The sequence below is a fragment of the Homo sapiens genome, chromosome 1, assembly GCF_000001405.40.
Source record: "Homo sapiens chromosome 1, GRCh38.p14 Primary Assembly".
NCBI classification, from domain to species: Eukaryota; Metazoa; Chordata; class Mammalia; order Primates; family Hominidae; genus Homo; species Homo sapiens.
The window spans coordinates 114,470,874-114,489,595 of NC_000001.11; the positions used below are offsets into that span (position 1 = coordinate 114,470,874).

Sequence of the window (18,722 nt, forward strand, 5' to 3'; positions counted from 1 at the left end):
CGCTGAAGCTTCGACTTCCTGGGCTCAAGTGATTCCTACCTCAGCCTCCCATGCAGTGGGGACCACAGGCTCATGCCACCATGCCCAACTAATTTTTTGATTTTTTGTAAAGACAGGGTCTCATATTGTTGTCCAGGCTGGTCTCGAACTCCTGGGCCCAAGCAATCCTCCCGCATAGGCCTCTCAAAGTGTTGGGACTACAGACATGAGCCACTGCGCCTGGCCTGCAAAGTTCTTGAAGGAAATTAAAAGTGACAGTCCAGTGAGCATATGAATGATAAGAAAGCAAATCAGACTGGGCATGGTGGCTCCCACCTGTAATTCCAGCGATTTGGAAGGCCGAGGTGGGCGGATGGCGAAGTCAAGAGATCAAGACCATCCTGGCCAATATGGTCAAACTCTACTAAAAATACAAAAGTTAGCTGGGTGTGGTGGCGTGCACCTCTAGTCCCAGCTACTCGGGAGGCTGAGGCAGGAGAACTGCTTGAACCCAGGAGGCGGAGACTGCAGTGAGCCAAGATCATGCCACTGCACTCCAGCCTGGCGACAGAGCAAGCAAGATTCTGTCTCAAAAAAAAAAAAAAAGAAGTGCCCTGCTAAATTTAAATAAACACAATTTCCATATTAAAAAATTAGAAGACCTGAAAAATGGCAATCCTGAGAAGCAAATTAGTAGTCTGCTACTAATGAAACTTCAAGACATACCTATTGAAAAAGAAAAGGATAAACAAACATACAGCAGCAACTGCAAAAAACAAAACAAAACAAAAAGGTAAAACAAAAACAAACAGGAAGAATATTAGCATTAGATAAACCTAAGTAAAAGTTAAAAAAGCATTAAATAGGAATAGTGGGAATACTGTACAACAATGAAGGACACAGTCCACAAATTGTCAAAACAAATTATGCAATTTATGCAGGATAGTAGCCACAAACAAAAGGTAAAACAAAAATGGAAAACATGTTATTTTATAAAAAATTGAATGGTTGTCAAGCTCACATTTCCTTATCCAGTTTTTGAAATACAGAAAATTATTGTATGTTTAGCTACAAAACACATTTAGTGAAAAAAACCTGACCTGAACTGTCATAAAGCTATATATATCTTTAGTTACGCTATTTAGTGTAAATACTGCTGCAGAAATATTAAGGCATTTGATTATAGGGTACGACCACAGACCATGCTGGAAATTTAAGTACCATCTTGCCTTCCTAAAATGTGAACACTTATGCATCCCAAACACTGAATATATGAATAAAATTTTTAAACTTAGAAACATAAATATTTTGTTTTCCTATGTCCACATTAATCATGTAACCTGGCTGCAATTTTCTTAAATTCCAAAATTAAATATTTTAATGACAACATATATGAGCATAATCCAAATAACTCTAAGAAATAAAATTTTAAAAATGACCAGTTCCCCAAAGTGAAATAATTGCTAATTAAGGAACAATACTGTGATTCAAGCAGAAAATTTTTCAAGTGGAATTTTTAAGAATTATCAAAATAGAAAATACTTTATAACAGTGTATCTCATTTCATAATAAAGTGATTGAAAACAAAATACAGAAGTGGCCAGATGCTGTGGCTCACGCCTGTAATCCCAACATTTTGGGAGCCAGAGGCGGGCAGATCGCTTCAGTCTAGGAGTTTGAGATCAGCCTGGGCAACATGGCAAGACCCTGTCTCTACAAAAATAAAAATTAGCCAGGCATGGTGGTACCTGCCTGTAATCCCAGCTACTCAGGAGGCTGAGGTGGGAGGATCACCTGAGGGTGTGAGGTCAAGCTGCAGTGAGCAGTGATTGGGCCACTGGGGGACAGTGAGAGCCTGTCTCAAAAATGAAAACAAAAACAAAAACAAAAACAAAACACAGAGGAAGGCCTTTGTGGCTCTTATAAAAATTCACAAGCATGAATTTAACTTTAAAGATATACACTGTTACAATTAAACTGTTAAAAGTCAAAGACAAGAAAATTTTGAAAAGACTAGGAGAAAAATAACTCATGACATACATGGGAACAATATGATTAACAATGAGCTGAGCAGAAACAAAAAAAAAAATTCAGAAGGCAGTGTGTTATAAAGTTTTGGTGCCGCAAAAGAAATAGCACTCAAATATAAAATGTTCTTTTTTTGGAGGCCGAGGCGGGCAAATCATGAGGTCAAGAGATAGAGACCATCCTGGCTAACATGGTGAAACCCCGTCTCTACTAAAAATACAAAAAAATTGGCTGGGTGTGGTTTCAGGCGCCTGTAGTCCCAGCTACTCAGGAGGCTGAGGCAGGAGAATGGTGTGAACTCGGGAGGCGGAGCTTGCAGTGAGCCGAGATCATGCCACTATACTCCAGCCTGGGTGCCAGAGCGAGACTCTGTCTCAAAAAAAAAAAAAAAAATTCATTTTTTTTCCTCAGCAAGGCAATTTATTTTTATAGAAGGATGCGCCCTCACAGATGGAGCAATGGTGAACGCACACCTGGACAAGGGAGGGGAAGGGGTTCTTATTCCTGACGCACATGGCCCCTGCTGCTGTGTTGTTCCCCTATTGGTGAGGGTTAGACCACACAGGCTAAACTAATTCCGATTGGCTACTTTAAAGAGAGTGACGGGGTGAGTGGTTTGGCAGGAAAAATGGTTATGGCAGAGCAGGAAATCGGAATGAATCAGGGTGGAGAATGAGTCAGGGCAGAGCAGGTAATCGGAATGAGTCAGTGTGGAGCAGGTAATTGGAATGAGTCAGGGTGGAGCATGTGATCGAAAAAGATTGCTTTATGAGGAAGTTTAGAAGTAGAAGGCAAAGAATTGAACACACTGACATTGATTCTTTGAAGAGAAATTTAGAACTCATATCTAACATAAGGAGGAACCAATGAACAACAATAAATACATGAGCTATACAGAAAACAAAGAGCAAAGCAATCAACGTAGATCTAACCATAACAATAATGATAGTAAATGAGAATGAATTAAATACCCCAATGAAAATAAAGAGCAGATAAAATTAACTATATACTGCTATATACTGTTTACCAGAGACACACTTTAATTTTTCCAGATATAGTCTCTGTAGCCCAGACTGGAGTGCAGTGGCGCTCACTGCAGCCTCAACCTCCTGGGCTTAAGCAGTCCTCCTGCATCAGCCTCCCAAGTAGTTAGGACTACGGGCATACACCATCACACTCGGTTAGTTTGCTTAAATTTTTTGTAGAGATAGGGTCTCACTATATCACCCAGGCGGGTCTCAATCTCCCAGCCTCAAGCAATCCTCCCGCTTCAACCTCCCAAAGTGCTGGGATTACAGGCATAAGTCACTGCCCCCAGCCCAGAAACACACCGTAAATCAAAGACAAATACAGGATGAAAGAAAAAAGTAAGTCAAATCATGGAAACAGTAATTACATAAGAGCTGGAGTCTTGGTGCGGTGGCTCACACCTGTAATCCCAGCACTTTGGGCTGAGGTGGGAGGATCACTTGAGGCCAGGAGTTCAAAGCCAGCCTGGGTGACACAGCAAGGCCCCATTTCTACAAATTAAAAAAAAAAAAAATTAAGCCAGGTGTGGTGGTATTTGCCTGCAGGCCCAGTTACTTAAGAGGCTGAAGCAGGAGGACTGCTTGAGCCCAGGAGTTCAAGGCTGCAGTGAGCTAGGATCATGCCACTCTACCGTAGCCTGGGTGACTGAGCAAGACCTTGTCTCTATTTAAAAAAAAAAAAAAAAAAAAAAAGGCCAGGGGCAGTGGCTCATGCCTGTAATCCCAGCACTTTGGGAGGCCAAGAGGCCAAGGCAGGCAGATCACCTGAGGTAGGGAGTTCAAGACAAGCCTGACCAACATGGAGAAACCCTGTCTCTACTAAAAATATAAGAATTAGCTGGGTGTGGTGGCGCATGCCTGTAATCCCAGCTACTCAGGAGGCTGAGGCAGGAGAATTGCTCGAACCCAGGAGGTGGAGGTTGTGGTGAGCCGAGATCCCACCACTGTACTCCAGCCTGGGCAACAGAAGCGAAAACTCTATCTCAAAAAAAAAAAAACAAGCAGGAGTGGCTATTCTAATATCAGATAAAATAGACCCTTACACAAAAATAATCATTAGAGACAAGAGCAAAATTTGTATAATAATAAAGATATCCATTCTCAGGAAGATATAGTTATATGCATATGTGTACATAACAAGACAGCTTCAAAACACATGAAGAAAAATCTGGCAAAACTGAAGGGAGACAAACAGAAATGAACATGAAGATGAACAAAATATGACCCCCCACAAAACAAAAGAGAGGCTCACTACCTGTGGGACAATTATCAAGTGGTCTAATATATGTGTAACTGAATTCCCAGAAGAAGAAATAAAAACAATGAGAAATATACTTTAAGAACTAATGATCAAGTTTTCCAACTTTAATAAAAACTATAAGCCAAAGATGAAGAACCACAATAATCTCTGAAGATAGCACTTCTAAATAAAACCATGCAAAGCACATCATAATCAAACTGCTAAAAAACAGTAATAAAGGATAAGTCTTAGGCTAGGCGCGGTGGCCCATGCCTGTAATCCCAGCACTTTGGGAGGCCAAGGCAAGAGGATCATGAGGTCAGGAGATCGAGACCATCCTGGCAAACACGGTGAAACGCTGTCTGTACTAAAAATACAAAAAAAATTAGCCAGGCGTGGTGACGGGCACCTGTAGTCCCAGCTACTCGGGAGGCTGAGGCAGGATAATGGCGTGAACCTGGAGGCAGGACTTGCAGTGAGCCGAGATGGCGCCACTGCACTCCAGCCTGGGCAACAGAGTAAGACTCCATCTCAAAATAAAAATAAATGTTTAACAAAGCAAAAGAGAATGCCACTTAGTATGACCAAGAAAAAACAGCATGAAAATTTCAAAAGAAATCTATCAACAAAAACAACAACTAAATAAATAAAAGGATCCAGCCTAGGCAACAAAGCAAGACCCCATCTCTAGAAAAACTTTAAAAACTAGCTCAGCGTGTAGGTGTGCATCTGTGGTCCCAGCTACATGCAAGGCTGAGGCAGGATTGCTTGAGCCCGGGAGGTGGAGGCTGCAGTTAGCCATGTTCACACCACTGCACTCCAGCCAGGGTGACAGAGAAAGGCTCTGTCTCAAAATAATAATACGGAAAAATTATTAAAATAAAGGAGATCATGAAAACATAGAAGTACAGTTTTCAAGTGAGATATAAAAAACCAAAACATAAAAGAATGGATGAAATAATTTCAGAGCTATTTATTATATATTCCTAGAATAGAATATATACATTTTTGGGTATGTCTGTGTAATATTTAAAAAATTTGATCTTGTATTCAGCTACCAAAAACAAATAAGAAAAAAAAAAACCTTTCAATTAAAAAGATACTGAATTTTACAGTCCACATCCTATAAAAGTTTAAAACTTTACAAAGTGAAAGTAAATAAAAACATCACTACACACAACCCAAAATAAAAATGGACTCCATCTGGAAATCAAACCTAAATTACAAGCTATCTAGAAAAAAATGCAGCAGAAACAGTTCATACTCAACTCTATTATTTCCATCTGTAGACTTAAATGTTTAAAAACAAAACTAATAAAACTTAGTTCTTTCCTTGACAAATTTTTTAAAAAAACAGAAGTATGAGAACAGAATTAAATATAAAAGCTGAAATATATACATTACTGAAAACAAAATTGATAACCTAAAAATTTTTTGAGAAAAAAGTAAAATCTTTAGGAATCTAATGAAGAGAAAAAAACATAGAGAAGTCAGAATGGAAACAGACAAAGCAAAACAATTTTAAAAGATTACTAAGCCTATATCAGAAAATACTCCATGTAACTCTAAAGCAAGCAATATTAAAATCTAGCATAAATGGCCAATTTTCTAGTAAAATATGATTCATCAAAAGCAAAACAAGAATTAAACTTGAAGAGACATGTAAGCATACAAAGATTAGAAGACGTTGCCATTTTAAAAAAAATACAAAATCCAGATAGTTATACAGGAGAGTAATGCTTAAAGAATAAACCAGCATTCCATTATTATTTGAACCAATCTAGAACAAAAGAGTGAAAATCCGAATTCATTTTATAGAGCCCGACATTGTTTTACTATTAAAACCTACCAAAGGCAATGCAAAAGAAGAAAACTGCAGACCACTCCAGCGTATTGACTCTACATTTCTAAATGAAATATTAGCAAACATTCTGTCAATCTGTCAAAAGAATATTATGATCAGTAAGGTTTACCAAGAATTCAAGGATTATTCAACGGAAAGAAATTTAACAAAATAATCATATCAAAACAACTGAAGAAGAAAACTATATGGTTATATAAACAGATGTTAAAGTGGCATATGATAAAATTCAGACATTTTTAGTAAGAACACTAAAAAAGAGAAGCAAACAACCTAAATATGAAAGAATCATTTACCAAAATATTAAATAGCATTTAAAGCTAGCAAAACCTTAAAGGAAAAAAAAAAAACAAAAACACTTCTCTATTCAAGTCAGAAACCAGGCATGTCATTTACCAAAGAGGCAATATACAAAATTATTAATGGAACAGATTCTGGAGCCAGACTACACAGATTTAAATCTCAACCCCTTCAGAGCTGTTAATTCCTTAATCTTTGAGTCTTAGTTTCCCCTTTGCAAAACAGGGATAACAGTACCTACCTCAAAGGTTGTTGGGAAGACTACATGTTTATACATATAAAATGTGACACACACTAAGTGCTCACAAAATGTAAGCTATTATTACAAGTTACTATTCATCTCAAAGATTTTAGAGCATCACTGTGTAACAGAATTTTCTGCAATAATGGATACGTGCTGTATGTGCACTGTTCAATGCAGTACTCAATACAACACTGGCCACTGAGCACTTGCAAAATGGCTAGTGGAACCAACAAACTAAATTTTAAAATTTCATTTTAGATAACTAAAAATTAAATCACCACCAGTGACTAGTTGCTATGGTACAGGACACTGCAGTTCTAGAAAACACAGGATACCTGAGATGTCACTTATTTTTTAAGACTACTAAAATTTAAAAGATAAGTTTACAACAAAATGAAGGTACAAAAAAAATTAACAGCTGGACCACTTTCAATAATGGCACAAGGGAAAGCAAATCCTCTCTTCAAAGACAAAGTATAAAACTGTACAAAACTGTCACAAAGAAAAAAAGCAAACAACGAATTCAGACCACAGGGAATCAACTACTGTCATGCAAAATGAGACACACTTATTCTACAAAGACTGCTAAAGTTTCAGGTAAAAGCAATGAAAGGCACTGGCCCTCTTGCTTGAGGATGCTCCCATGGTCCCCATTTAGTCCTAAAGTCTGGTCTGAAAAATCAGTAGTTTTACTAGAATGGGGCTGACCATAAAAACAGCAGCTTTGCTGTCACACACGGTAGAATCAATTGGGGAGAGAGGTGAATGCGAAAACATGAGATTTGCCAGGTATAAATTAGTATCTGTCTGGAAAGAACAGGTTTTGCTATACCTGGGTTGGGGGTCACACAGCAAGCAGCAGATCAACCACATTAATACAAAGAAACTTGAAATGAGAGAGTCACGGAAGGGCTAAGATCAACTCTCTATACAGACATGGCTAATTGGGACACTGCACATACCAAAGGGAGACACAAGAAAGCCCTGAAAAAACTAAAGGCCAAGTGAGAATAAAAACAAAGATTTCAAAGCAACTATTATAAATATTTTAAAAGAATAAAAAGGAACCAGTGTTCAAATAATAAAATAATATGGCAAAGCCTCAACAAATAAGAAGTCTTAAGAGCGAACTATAAAAAGAAGCCACACAGATTAAAAGTACATGCAAAATAAAAAATTCACTACATATCTGGGCTTCAATAATACACTTCAGGCCAGGCGTGGTGGCTCACTCCTGTAATCCCAGCACTTTGGGAGGCCAAGGTAGGTGGATCGCCTGAGGTCAGGAGTTCGAGACCAGCCTGGCCAACATGTGAAACTCTGCCTCTACTAAAAACACAAAAAATTAGCCAGGCGTGGTTGTGGGCACCTGTAATTCCAGCTACTCCAGAGGCTGAGGCAGGAGAATTGCTGAAACCCAGGAGGCAGAGGTTTGCAGTGAGCCAAGGTTGCACCATTGCACTCCAGCCTGGGCAACAAGAGTGAAACTCTATCTCAAAAAACAAAAAAAGATCTGAGTGAACTTGTAGATGGATAAATTAAAATTTAATTTCAATCCAATCAAAAAAATCAGAGAGGAAAAAAGACTGACGAGAAAAGAACAGATCCTCAGAAACCAGTAGAACAATGTCAAGCTCCCAACATAAATGTAATAAAAGTCACAGGACATAAGAGCAAAGAAATAGAAAAAATGTTTGAAGAAATAATGGTGGAAAATGTCAAAACCTGATGAAACACATTAATCTGCAGATTCAAAAAGGGGAGAGAACCACAAACAAAATAAACACGAAATGAATCAAACCAAACACATCACAGTCAAACTGCTGAAAACCAGGAGAAAAATAATTCATCAAGGAAACCAATCCATCAACATCTGACTTTTCATTAAAAATATGGAGGCCAGGAAGCAATAAAATGACATATTCAAACTACAAATTATAAACCAAGAATTGTATATGCAACAAAAATATCCTTCAAAAATGAAGGCAAAATAAAAACAGCCACAGGTAAACAAAATTTGAGAGAAAGTCACACTTAGCATATTTGTACCACAAAAAATCTAAAGGAAGTCTGTCAGGATGACAGGAAATAAAACCAGACTATATAAATGTAACAATCATGACTATAACAATACAAAAGATAGAAATGGAGCTACAGTGGAACAAAGTTGCTATATTTTAACAAAATGAAGGTAGTATTGTCCTGAAGTGAATTGTGGTGTTAAAGATATATCATAATTAGCCGCCCCATCCAGCAGGGAGGTGGGGGGCAGCCCCCGCCCGGCCAGCTGCCCCGTCCGGGAGGGAGGAAGGGGGCGCCTCCACCCGGCCGCCGCCCCATCCGGAAGGTGGGGGCGCCTCTGCCCGGCCGCCCCTGCTGGGAAGTGAGGAGCCCCTCTGCCCGGCCGCCACCCCGTCTGGGAGGTGTACCCAACAGCTCATTGAGAACAGGCCATGATGATGATGGCGGTTTTGTGGAATAGAAAAGGGGGAAATGTGGGGAAAGATAGAGAAATCAGATCGTTGCTGTGTCTGTGTAGAAAGAAGTAGACATAGGAGACTCCATTTTTGTTCTGTACTAAGAAAGATTCTTCTGCCTTGGGATGCTGTTGATCTATGACCTTGCCCCCAACCCTGTGCTCTCTGAAACATGTGCTGTGTCCACTCAGGGTTAAATGGATTAAGGGCGGTGCAAGATGTGCTTTGTTAAACAGATGCTTGAAGGCAGTATGCTCCTTAAGAGTCATCACCACTCCCTGATCTCAAGTACCCAGGGACACAAACACTTCGGAAGGCCGCAGGGTCCTCTGCCTAGGAAAACCAGAGACCTTTGTTCACTTGTTTATCTGCTGACCTTCCTCCACTATTGTCCTATGACCCTGCCAAATCCCCCTCTGCGAGAAACACCCAAGAATGATCAATTTAAAAAAAAAAAAAAAAAAAGAAGTGAAAAGGCCCTGCCCCGCCTTAAAAAAAAAAAAAAAGAGAGATATCATAATTGCAAGAGTTAAAACTAAAACAAAAACTAAAAGAAAATTTTAAGGTACACTAAAAATATTGGTAAACATAGAAGTCTCAGTAAAGAAGGAAAAGAACAAAAATGACACACGGAAAACAACTAGCAAAATGGCATACCTAAATCCAACTATATCACTGAGTAAACACTCCAATGAAAAGAAGAGATTGTCAAACTGGATAAAAAGTAAAATCCAACTATATATCCTCTGAAAGAAACATTTTTAGATTCAAATACATAAATAGGGATAAAGTAAAAGGAGAGGAGAAGATAAAATCATGAATAAATAGGGATAAAGTAAAAGGAGAGGAGAAGATAAAATCATGAAAGCTGTTGCCATAAGACAGCTGGAGTAGTCACACTAACATCAGAAAAAAAAAGATTCTTGGAGTCCGGAGTTTGAGACCAGTCTGGCCAACATGGTGAAACCCTGTCTCTACTAAAAATACAAAAATTAGCCAGGTGTGGTGGCGCATGCCTGTAATCCCAGCTACTCGGGAGGCTGAGACAGGAGAATAGCTTGAACCCCAGGAGACGGAGGTTGCAATGAGCCAAGATCACGCCACTGCACTGCAGCCTGGGCAACAGAGTAAGACTCTGTCTCCAAAAAAGAAAGAAGAAAAAAAGATTCTCAAAGCATATTACTAAGTAAAATGAAGCATTTTATATGTTAAAGAATCAATACATCAGATACATGTAACAATTATAAATGTAAATGAACCAAACACAAAATTAAAACCATAGGCCAGATGTGGTGGCTCACGCCTGTAATCCTAGCACTTTGGGAAGCCAAGGTGGTGGATCACGAGGTCAGGGGTTCAAGACCAGCCTGGCCAAGATGGTGAAACCCCATCTCTACTAAAACTATAAAAATTAGTTGGGTGCGGTGGCACACGCCTATAATCCCAGCTACTCAGGAGGCTGAGCCAGGAGAATCGCCTGAATCTGGGTGGCAGAGGTTGCAGTGAGCTGAGATTGCGCCACTGCACTCCAGCCTGGGCAACAGAGTGAGACACTGTCCGAAAAAAAACCCAAGAAAAACAAAAAAAAAGAAAAAAAACTATATATATATGTGTGTGTGTGTGTGTGTGTGTATATATATGTGTGTATATATATATATATGTGTGTATATATATATTTTTTTATATTGGTTTTTTCCTCCCCATGGGATACAGCTGAAAGAGTGCTTAAACATTTATTTTTTCTTTTGAGATGGAGTCTCACTCTATCGCCCAGGCTGGAGGGCAGTGGCGTGATCGCACCTCACTGCAACCTCCGCCTACCCAGTTCAAGTGATTCTCCTGCCTCAGCCCCCTAGTAGCTGAGGTTACAGATGTGCGCCACCATGCCCAGCTAATATTTTTGTATTTTTAGTAGAGATGGGGTTTCACCATGTTGGCGCGGCTGGTCTTGAACTCCTGACTTCAGGTGATCTGCCCACCTCGGCCTCCCAAAGAGCTGGGATTACAGGCCATTAGTCCAACAAAACTTTCTGCCATGACAAAATGTTCTATATCTGCACTGTCTAATATGGCAGCCATCAGCCACACATGATTACTGAATACCTGAAATGTGACAACAGTGACTAAGGAAGTAAATCATCAATTTCATTTACGCTTAATTTTGTCACATATGGCCATTAGGTACCACATTTAACACCATGAACTTAGAGAGAAATGTATAGCTTCAAAGACATATATTAGAAAGGAAAAAAACATCTAAAAGCAATCATCTCAACATGCCCCTCATTAAGCTCGAAAAAGAAGACCAAATGAAAACATTACATAGGACGAAATAAAGATCAGAGTAGCTATGAATAGGGAAGAAAGGGGAACGAAACTCAAAGCTGGTTCTTTGAAAACAACTGATAAACAATTACCTAGATGGGAAAATGAGTGCAGGGAGGGAGATGGGGGGAGATAGAGAAGACAGATTGGTATTGATCTAAAAAGAAAAGAGAGCACATTGTGCCAAAACCAAAAATGAAATATAAGACTTAACAAGAGATCCTGCCAAAATGTTACTGATATGGTTTGGATTTGTGTCCCCACCCAAATCTCATGTTGAATTGTAATCTCCAATGTTGGAGGAGGGCCCCGGTGGGAGGTGATTGGATCACGGGGGCAGATTTCCCCTTTGCTGTTCTCATTATAGTAACTGAGTTCTCATGAGATCTGGTTGTTTGAAAGTCTGCAGCACTTCCCCCTTCACTCTCTCTTCCTCCTGTCAGCCGTATGAAGATGTGCTTAACTTCCCTTTCACTTTCTGCCATGATTGTTTCTTAAGGCCTCCCCAGAAGCAGAAGCCTGCACAGCAGGAAGAACCAGAGAAACCTCTTTTGTTTGTAAATTACCTAGTCTCAGGTATGTCTTTATAGCAGTGTCAGAATGGACTAATAGAACTATGAACCTCTTATGCCAAGTTAGACCACTAAAACAAAATGGGTCAAATTCTTTAAAAATACAAATTACCAGCTAGGTAATCCCAGCACTTTGGGAGGCTGAGATGGGAGGATCACTTGAGACCAGGTGTTCGAGACCAGCCTGGGTAACACAGTGGGACCCTGTCTCTACAAAAATAATTTTTTAATTAGCTAGGTGCGATGGTGCACACTTGTAGTCCCAGCTACTCAGGAAGCTGAGGCAAGAGGACTGCTTGAGCCTATGAGATGAAGGCTGCAGAGAGCTGCGATCACACCACTGCACCCCAGCCTGGGCTACAAAGCAAGACCCTGTCTTGAAAAAAAAAATTTTTACCAAACTGACTCAAGAAGACATAGAAAAACTCAATCTGAATACTAGATCAGTAATTTAAAATCTACAAAAAGGAAAGTCCAGACCCAGTTGGGTTTTTTTTTTTTCTTTTTGAGATGGAGTCTCTGTCTGTGGCCCAGGCTGGAGTGCAGTGGCATGATCTCACTGCAACCTCTGCCTCCTGGGTTCAAGTGATTCTCCTGCCTCAGCCTCCCGAGTAGCTGCAACTACAGGCACCCACCACCACGCTCAGCTAATTTTTTGTATTTTTAGTAGAGACGGGGTTTCGCCATGTTGCCCAGGCTGGTTTCAAACTCCTGAGCTCAGGCAATCCACCCGCCTCAGCCTCCCAAAGTGCTGGGATTACAGTGTGAGCCACCGTGCCCGGCCCCAGTTGGTTTTAATGGTGAATTCTCTCAAGGAAGAAATAATACAAACCTCAAACAAACTCTTTAGAAAATAGAGAAGAAAAAACATATTTCAAGAGGCCAATATCACCCTGTTACCAAAGACATAAGACAAAGACATCACAGATAAAATATTACTAGAAAACTACAGACTGAGGAGTAGAGGAGTATTAGAAGAGGAGATGAAAACGATGCCCAAATTTCTGGTTTAGGAAACCGGAACAATGAGATGACTGTTACAGTTTGTAAGTGGAGGTTTGGAAACTACAATTAGTTCAAGTTTAGAGACAGTAAATTTGAGACACATCTGGGTCACTCAAGAAAAGATGTTAAGCAGGCAGTTGTGCTAAATAAAAATGTACATAACTGAGTTTGCAAAAAGATGTTTTATTTTGAAATAATGGTCTGCCAGACAAAATTCAAGGAGCTCTTAAGAGCTTGTTAGTGTGTTGTTTCAAATTTTATAATAAAGATGAGATAGTCAGCATTTCATACTTTGGAAACTTACAGACTTAAATGAGTTATTTTATATTCTTTTATACTGTTTGAAACTCTAACCATGCCCACGTTTTACTTTTTCTAAATAATTTTTTAATTGAACTGGTAAAAAAATAAAAAAAACTTGGCTAACTAACCATCAAGACTCTGACCTGCAAATTGTTTCATTTGCAAGAATTATACTGGTCATCCTTTTCATCTTTAAAAATGTGTGTTTAGGCTGGGCATGGTGGCTCACACCTGTAATCCCAGTACTTTGGGAGGCTGAGGCGGGTGGATCACCTGAGGTCAGGAGTTCGAGACCAGCCTGGTCAACATGGTGAAACCCCATCTCTATTAAAAATACAAAAATTAGGCTGGGCATGGTAGCTCACTCCTGTAATCCTAGCACTTTGGGAGGCCGAGGCAGACAGATTGCCTGAGCTCAGGAGTTCGAAACCAGCCTGGGCAACACAGTGAAACCCTGTCTCTACTAAAAATAAAGAAAAATTAGCCAGGCATGGCAGTGTGCACCAGTAGTCCCAGTTACTCAGGAGGCTGAGGCAGGACAATTGCTTGATCCCAGGAGGTGGAGGTTGCAGTGAGCCCACATCGCACCACTGCACTCCAGCCTGGATGACAGAGTGAGACTACACCTCCAAAAATAAAAATAAGAAATACAAAAATGCACAAAAAAATAGCCAGGCGTGGTGGCACATGCCTGTAATCCCACCTACTCGGGAGGCTGAGACACGAAAATCACTTGAACCTGGGAGGCGGAGGTTGCAGTGAGCCGAGATCACACCACTGCACTCCCGCCTGGGAGACAGAGTGAGACTCTGTCTTTTAAAAAAAAAAAAAGTACGTGTTTATTAAAGTCTCCAAAACTCCAAACTCCCAAGAGCAGAGATAATCTAACACTGCCTTGCAGAGAATAGGAATTAAAAGCATGAATTTAGTGAGTCATGATTCCATAATCTCACGACTATAATCTGTAAAATGTTAGGACCAAAAGAACTCAGTATTTCCACTGCTGGGATCTTAAATAAAGGCGACTTTAATTGAAGCCCCCATTTTTTTTTTAAAACTAAAAATACTGAAAAAAAAAATCTCCTACTCCTCAATATCAGTAGGGAATAGCAGGAAGCTGAACTTCTACTCCCACCTGGCAATAATAAGGAATAAGGGGGTAAGAGACCAGGCAAATCATCACTTCTTATCCCTTTGCCTGGTATGATAAAATCCAAGTGGAAAGCTGAGACTCCACCCCTATTATGTAGCAATCCAGTGGAATGAGTTAGCCCTACATTTCCTCCCTCCCTGGTATCACAAGGGCTCAGTGGAACTGAACTTAAACCCTAAATCAGAGGTGACAAGGTGGTATGAGTTGGTACCCCACTTCATCAGGAAGGACCAAGGGAGAAATTGAACTTTCATCTCACCTATCTGCAACATGGCAGAGAAAGTCAGCACTCCACTTTTGCCAGGGTGGTGTCAGGAGGCCCAAGGGGAAGGTGAACATACACCCTACCTGGCCTTTATGTTATACCTCAGTAGAAAGACTGCTGGAAAAAAATGAAGATTAAATAGAATCGCAAGTCTCAGAATGTGATATCCAAAATATTTGCAATATACTCAAAAAATTATTTGTCAAACACCAGGAAAATCATAACTGACAAAAGACAATCAGTACATGCCCAAACCAAGATGATCAGATATCACATATTAGAAACATCTGACAAAGTCTTTAAGGGAACCATTATGAAAATGCTTCAAAAAGCAATATAAGCCAGGCACAGTGGCTCACACCTGTAATCCCAGCACTTTAGGAAGCTGAGGCAGGCAGATCACTTGAGGTCAGAAGTTCGAGACCAGCCTGGCCAACACGGTGAAACCCCCATCTCTACTAAAAATACAAAAACTAGCCAGGCATGGTGGCACACACCTGTAGTCCCAGCTATTTGGTAGGCTGAGGCAGGAGAATTGCTTGAACCCGGGAGGAAGAGGTTGCAATGAGCTGAGATCGCAACACTGAACCCCAGCCTGGGCGACAGAGTAAGACCTCATCTTAAAACGGCAATACGAATGTCCTTAAAACAAATGGAAAATAGAAAAGAAATGAAAGTTATAGAAAAAAAAGACCAATGGAAATTATAGGATTAAAAAATACACTTTGGAAATGGAGACGGGCAGATAACTTGAGGTCAGGAGGTCAAGACCAGCCTGACCAACATGGAGAAACTCCGTTTCTAACAAAAAATATACAAAAATTAGCCGGTGTCGTGGCACCAAGATCACACCACTGCACTCCAGCCTGGGCAACACAGTGGGACCCTATCTCAAAAAAAAAAAAAAAAAAAACCCAAAAACCAAAAATTTAAAACTCAATAAATGGGCTCAATAGACAAGAGAAGATAACAGGCAACAGAATAACTGACCTTCAGGCAAAATCAAGAGACCAAAAGAAAAGAAAAGAAAAACAGAACACAGTCTCAAGAACCTGTGGAACAATAAAAAACTAGCTAGCTAGCATTGCTGTCACCAGAGCTGCAGAGTTCCAGAAGGAGAGGAGTACATAAAATTTAAAAATTACTTGAACAGGCCGGGTGCAGTGGCTCACACCTGTAACCCAGCACTTTGGGAGGCCAAGGCAGGTGGATCACTTGAGGTCAGGAGTTTAAGACCAGCCTGGCCAAAATAGTGAAACCCTATCTCTACTAAAAATACAAAAATTAGCCAGGTATGGTGGCGTACGCTTGTAGTACCAGTTACTTGGGAGGCTGAAGCAGGCGAATCACTTGAACCCAGGAAATGGAGACTGCAGTGAGCCAAGATCACGCCATTGCACACCAGCCTGGGCAACAGAGCAAGACTCTGTCTCAAAAAAAAAAAAAAAATTACTTGAACAAATAATGACTGAAAATGTCCCAAATTTGACAAAATACATAAACCTACATATAAAAAAACTGAGTTAATGCCAAATAAGAAAAACCCAAATAAATCCACACCAAGATACATCATAAAAGTTCTGAAAGATAAAGAAAAAAATCTTGAAAGCAGACAATGACCACTTTACTTGCAGAGGAACATCTATTCAAATGACAGTGGATCTCTCATGTAAAACCATGCAGGCCAAAAAAAAAAAAAAAAAACAACCTGGCTCAACATCATTCAAAGGCTGAAAGAAAGTAACTCAGAAATGCAAATTCTATATTCAACAAATACCCTTCAGGAATGAAGGACAACTAAAGATATTCTCAGATGAAAAAATATATAAAAATTTGTCACTAATACCCCTAAAAGCATGTATGGTTAAAGAAAACTTGCCGTAACAGAAAAAAAAAATGTTAACAGAAGGAACCTTGAATCTTTGGAAAAGAACACTGGAATGATAAAAATGAGAGTAAATAGGCCGGGCGCGGTGGCTCACGCCTGTAATCCCAGCACTTTGGGAGGCCGAGGCGGGTGGATCATGAGGTCAGGAGATCGAGACCATCCTGGCTAACAAGGTGAAACCCCGTCTCTACTAAAAATACAAAAAATTAGCCGGGCGCGGTGGCGGGCGCCTGTAGTCCCAGCTACTCGGGAGGCTGAGGCAGGAGAATGGCGTGAACCCGGGAAGCGGAGCTTGCAATGAGCCGAGATTGCGCCACTGCAGTCCGCAGTCCGGCCTGGGCGACAGAGCGAGACTCCGTCTCAAAAAAAAAAAAAAAAAAAAAAAAAAATGAGAGTAAATATAATAGATTTCTTCTCATGGATTTCTTAAATCATGTGAGAGCTTATAAAAAAGATCATATATTATCTGGTCATCTATATAGACAGAAAATTAAAGATAATCATTTTAAAACTAGGAAGAGTAAAGGGACCTAACTAGAAGTAAAACGTCTATACTTCACTCCAAATGGTAAAATGTCAATACAAAGACTTTAAGTTACAAATAAACGTTGCGATATCTAAGACGCTATTCAAAGCACTCCAAAAACTATAAACTACACAAAACCACCATAAATAAAGACGGAATCTTAAAAAGAACTTTAGGTAACTCAAACGAAGTCAAGAGAAACAAAGGAAACAAACAGAAAACAATAACATATTTAAGCCATAACACATCAATAATTACCTTAAATATACCTACATACCTTAAATACTCCTAAACACATGAACTAAATAAAGACCAGAAGAGTGAATAAACTTAAACCATAATCTAACAGTAATGCTATCTATTAATACAAGAAGCTTCAAACACAATAATGTAAGTACATTAAAAGAAGATGGAGGCCAGGCACAGTGGCTCACACCTGTAATCCTAGCACTTTGAGAGGCTGAGGCGGGAGGACCGCTTCAGCCCAGAAGTTCAAGACCAGCCTGGGCAACAATACAAGACCCCATCTCTACAAAAAATTAAAAAATTAGCCAGGCGTGGTGGCATGCGGCTGCAGTCCCAGCTACTAGGAGTCTGAGGTGAAAGAACTGCTTCAGCCCAGGAGGTCAAGACTGCAGTGAGCTATGATCGCATCACTGCACTCCAACCTGGGCAACAGAGCAAGATCTGTCCTTTAAAAAACAAAAACCAAAAAAAATTCAAGGGATCCAGAAGAACCAAAACGATCTTGAAAAAGAACAACCCACCCCAGCAACATAGCAAGAACCCATCTCTACAAAAAATAAAAAAATTGCTGGGTGTGGTGTAGCCACACATCTGTAGTGGTGTGAGACACGCATCTGTAGTCTCAGCTGGGGAAGGTGAGGTGGGAGGATCACCTGAGCCCAGGAGGTGGAAGCTGCAGTAAGCCCTGAGTGCACCACTGCACTACAGCCTGGGTGACAGAGTGAGACCCTGTTTTTGTTGTTGTTTAATTTTGTTATTGGCATAAAGACAGACATACAGATCAATGGAATGAAATTAAGTCCAGGAAAACACCCTCACATTTACCCAGTCAACTAATTTTAGACAGGTTGCTAAGACAATTAAATGGAGGACAGAGTAGTCTTTTCACTAAATGATACAGGGACAATGGATATCCTTGTGCAAAAGAATGAAACTAGATCTTTACCTCACAAACAAATTTCACATACAAAAATTAACTCAACTTTATCAGAGAATCTGAATCTAAAACCTAAAACTGTAAAGCTCTTAAAAGAAAACATAAGAATACATCTTCATGACCTTGGATTACGAAATGATTTTTCAGATATGGTGCGAAAAACAAAAGCACAAAATATAAATTGGACCTCATCAAACTTAAAAACTTTTGTGGCCAAGTGCAGTGGCTCACACCTCTAATCCAAGCACTTTACGGGGCTGAAGCAAGAGGATCGCTTGGACCCAGGAGTTTGAGACCAGCCTGGGCAACACAGCAAAATCCTGTCTCTACAAAAAAAAATAAAAA

General features: G+C 40.0%; 1 protein-coding gene across 7 annotated transcripts in view, besides 2 other annotated features; it reads right to left on the reverse strand.

Moving 5' to 3' along the window:
* TRIM33 (tripartite motif containing 33) overlaps positions 1 to 18,722 on the reverse strand; it is a 118,414-nt gene that overhangs the window by 78,084 nt on the left and 21,608 nt on the right. The gene's annotated exons all lie outside the window — the stretch shown is intronic.
* Positions 6,855 to 7,355: an enhancer, noted in NCBI's record as "NANOG-H3K27ac hESC enhancer chr1:115020350-115020850 (GRCh37/hg19 assembly coordinates)". NCBI's record gives its function as "activates a minimal SCP1, AML or CMV promoter by ChIP-STARR-seq in primed H9 embryonic stem cells {active_cell/tissue: H9 hESC(primed)}" and the evidence as "EXISTENCE:reporter gene assay evidence [ECO:0000049][PMID:30033119]".
* Positions 11,961 to 12,030: an enhancer, noted in NCBI's record as "active region_1545". NCBI's record gives its function as "activates an Ori minimal core promoter by ATAC-STARR-seq in GM12878 lymphoblastoid cells {active_cell/tissue: GM12878}" and the evidence as "EXISTENCE:reporter gene assay evidence [ECO:0000049][PMID:35858748]".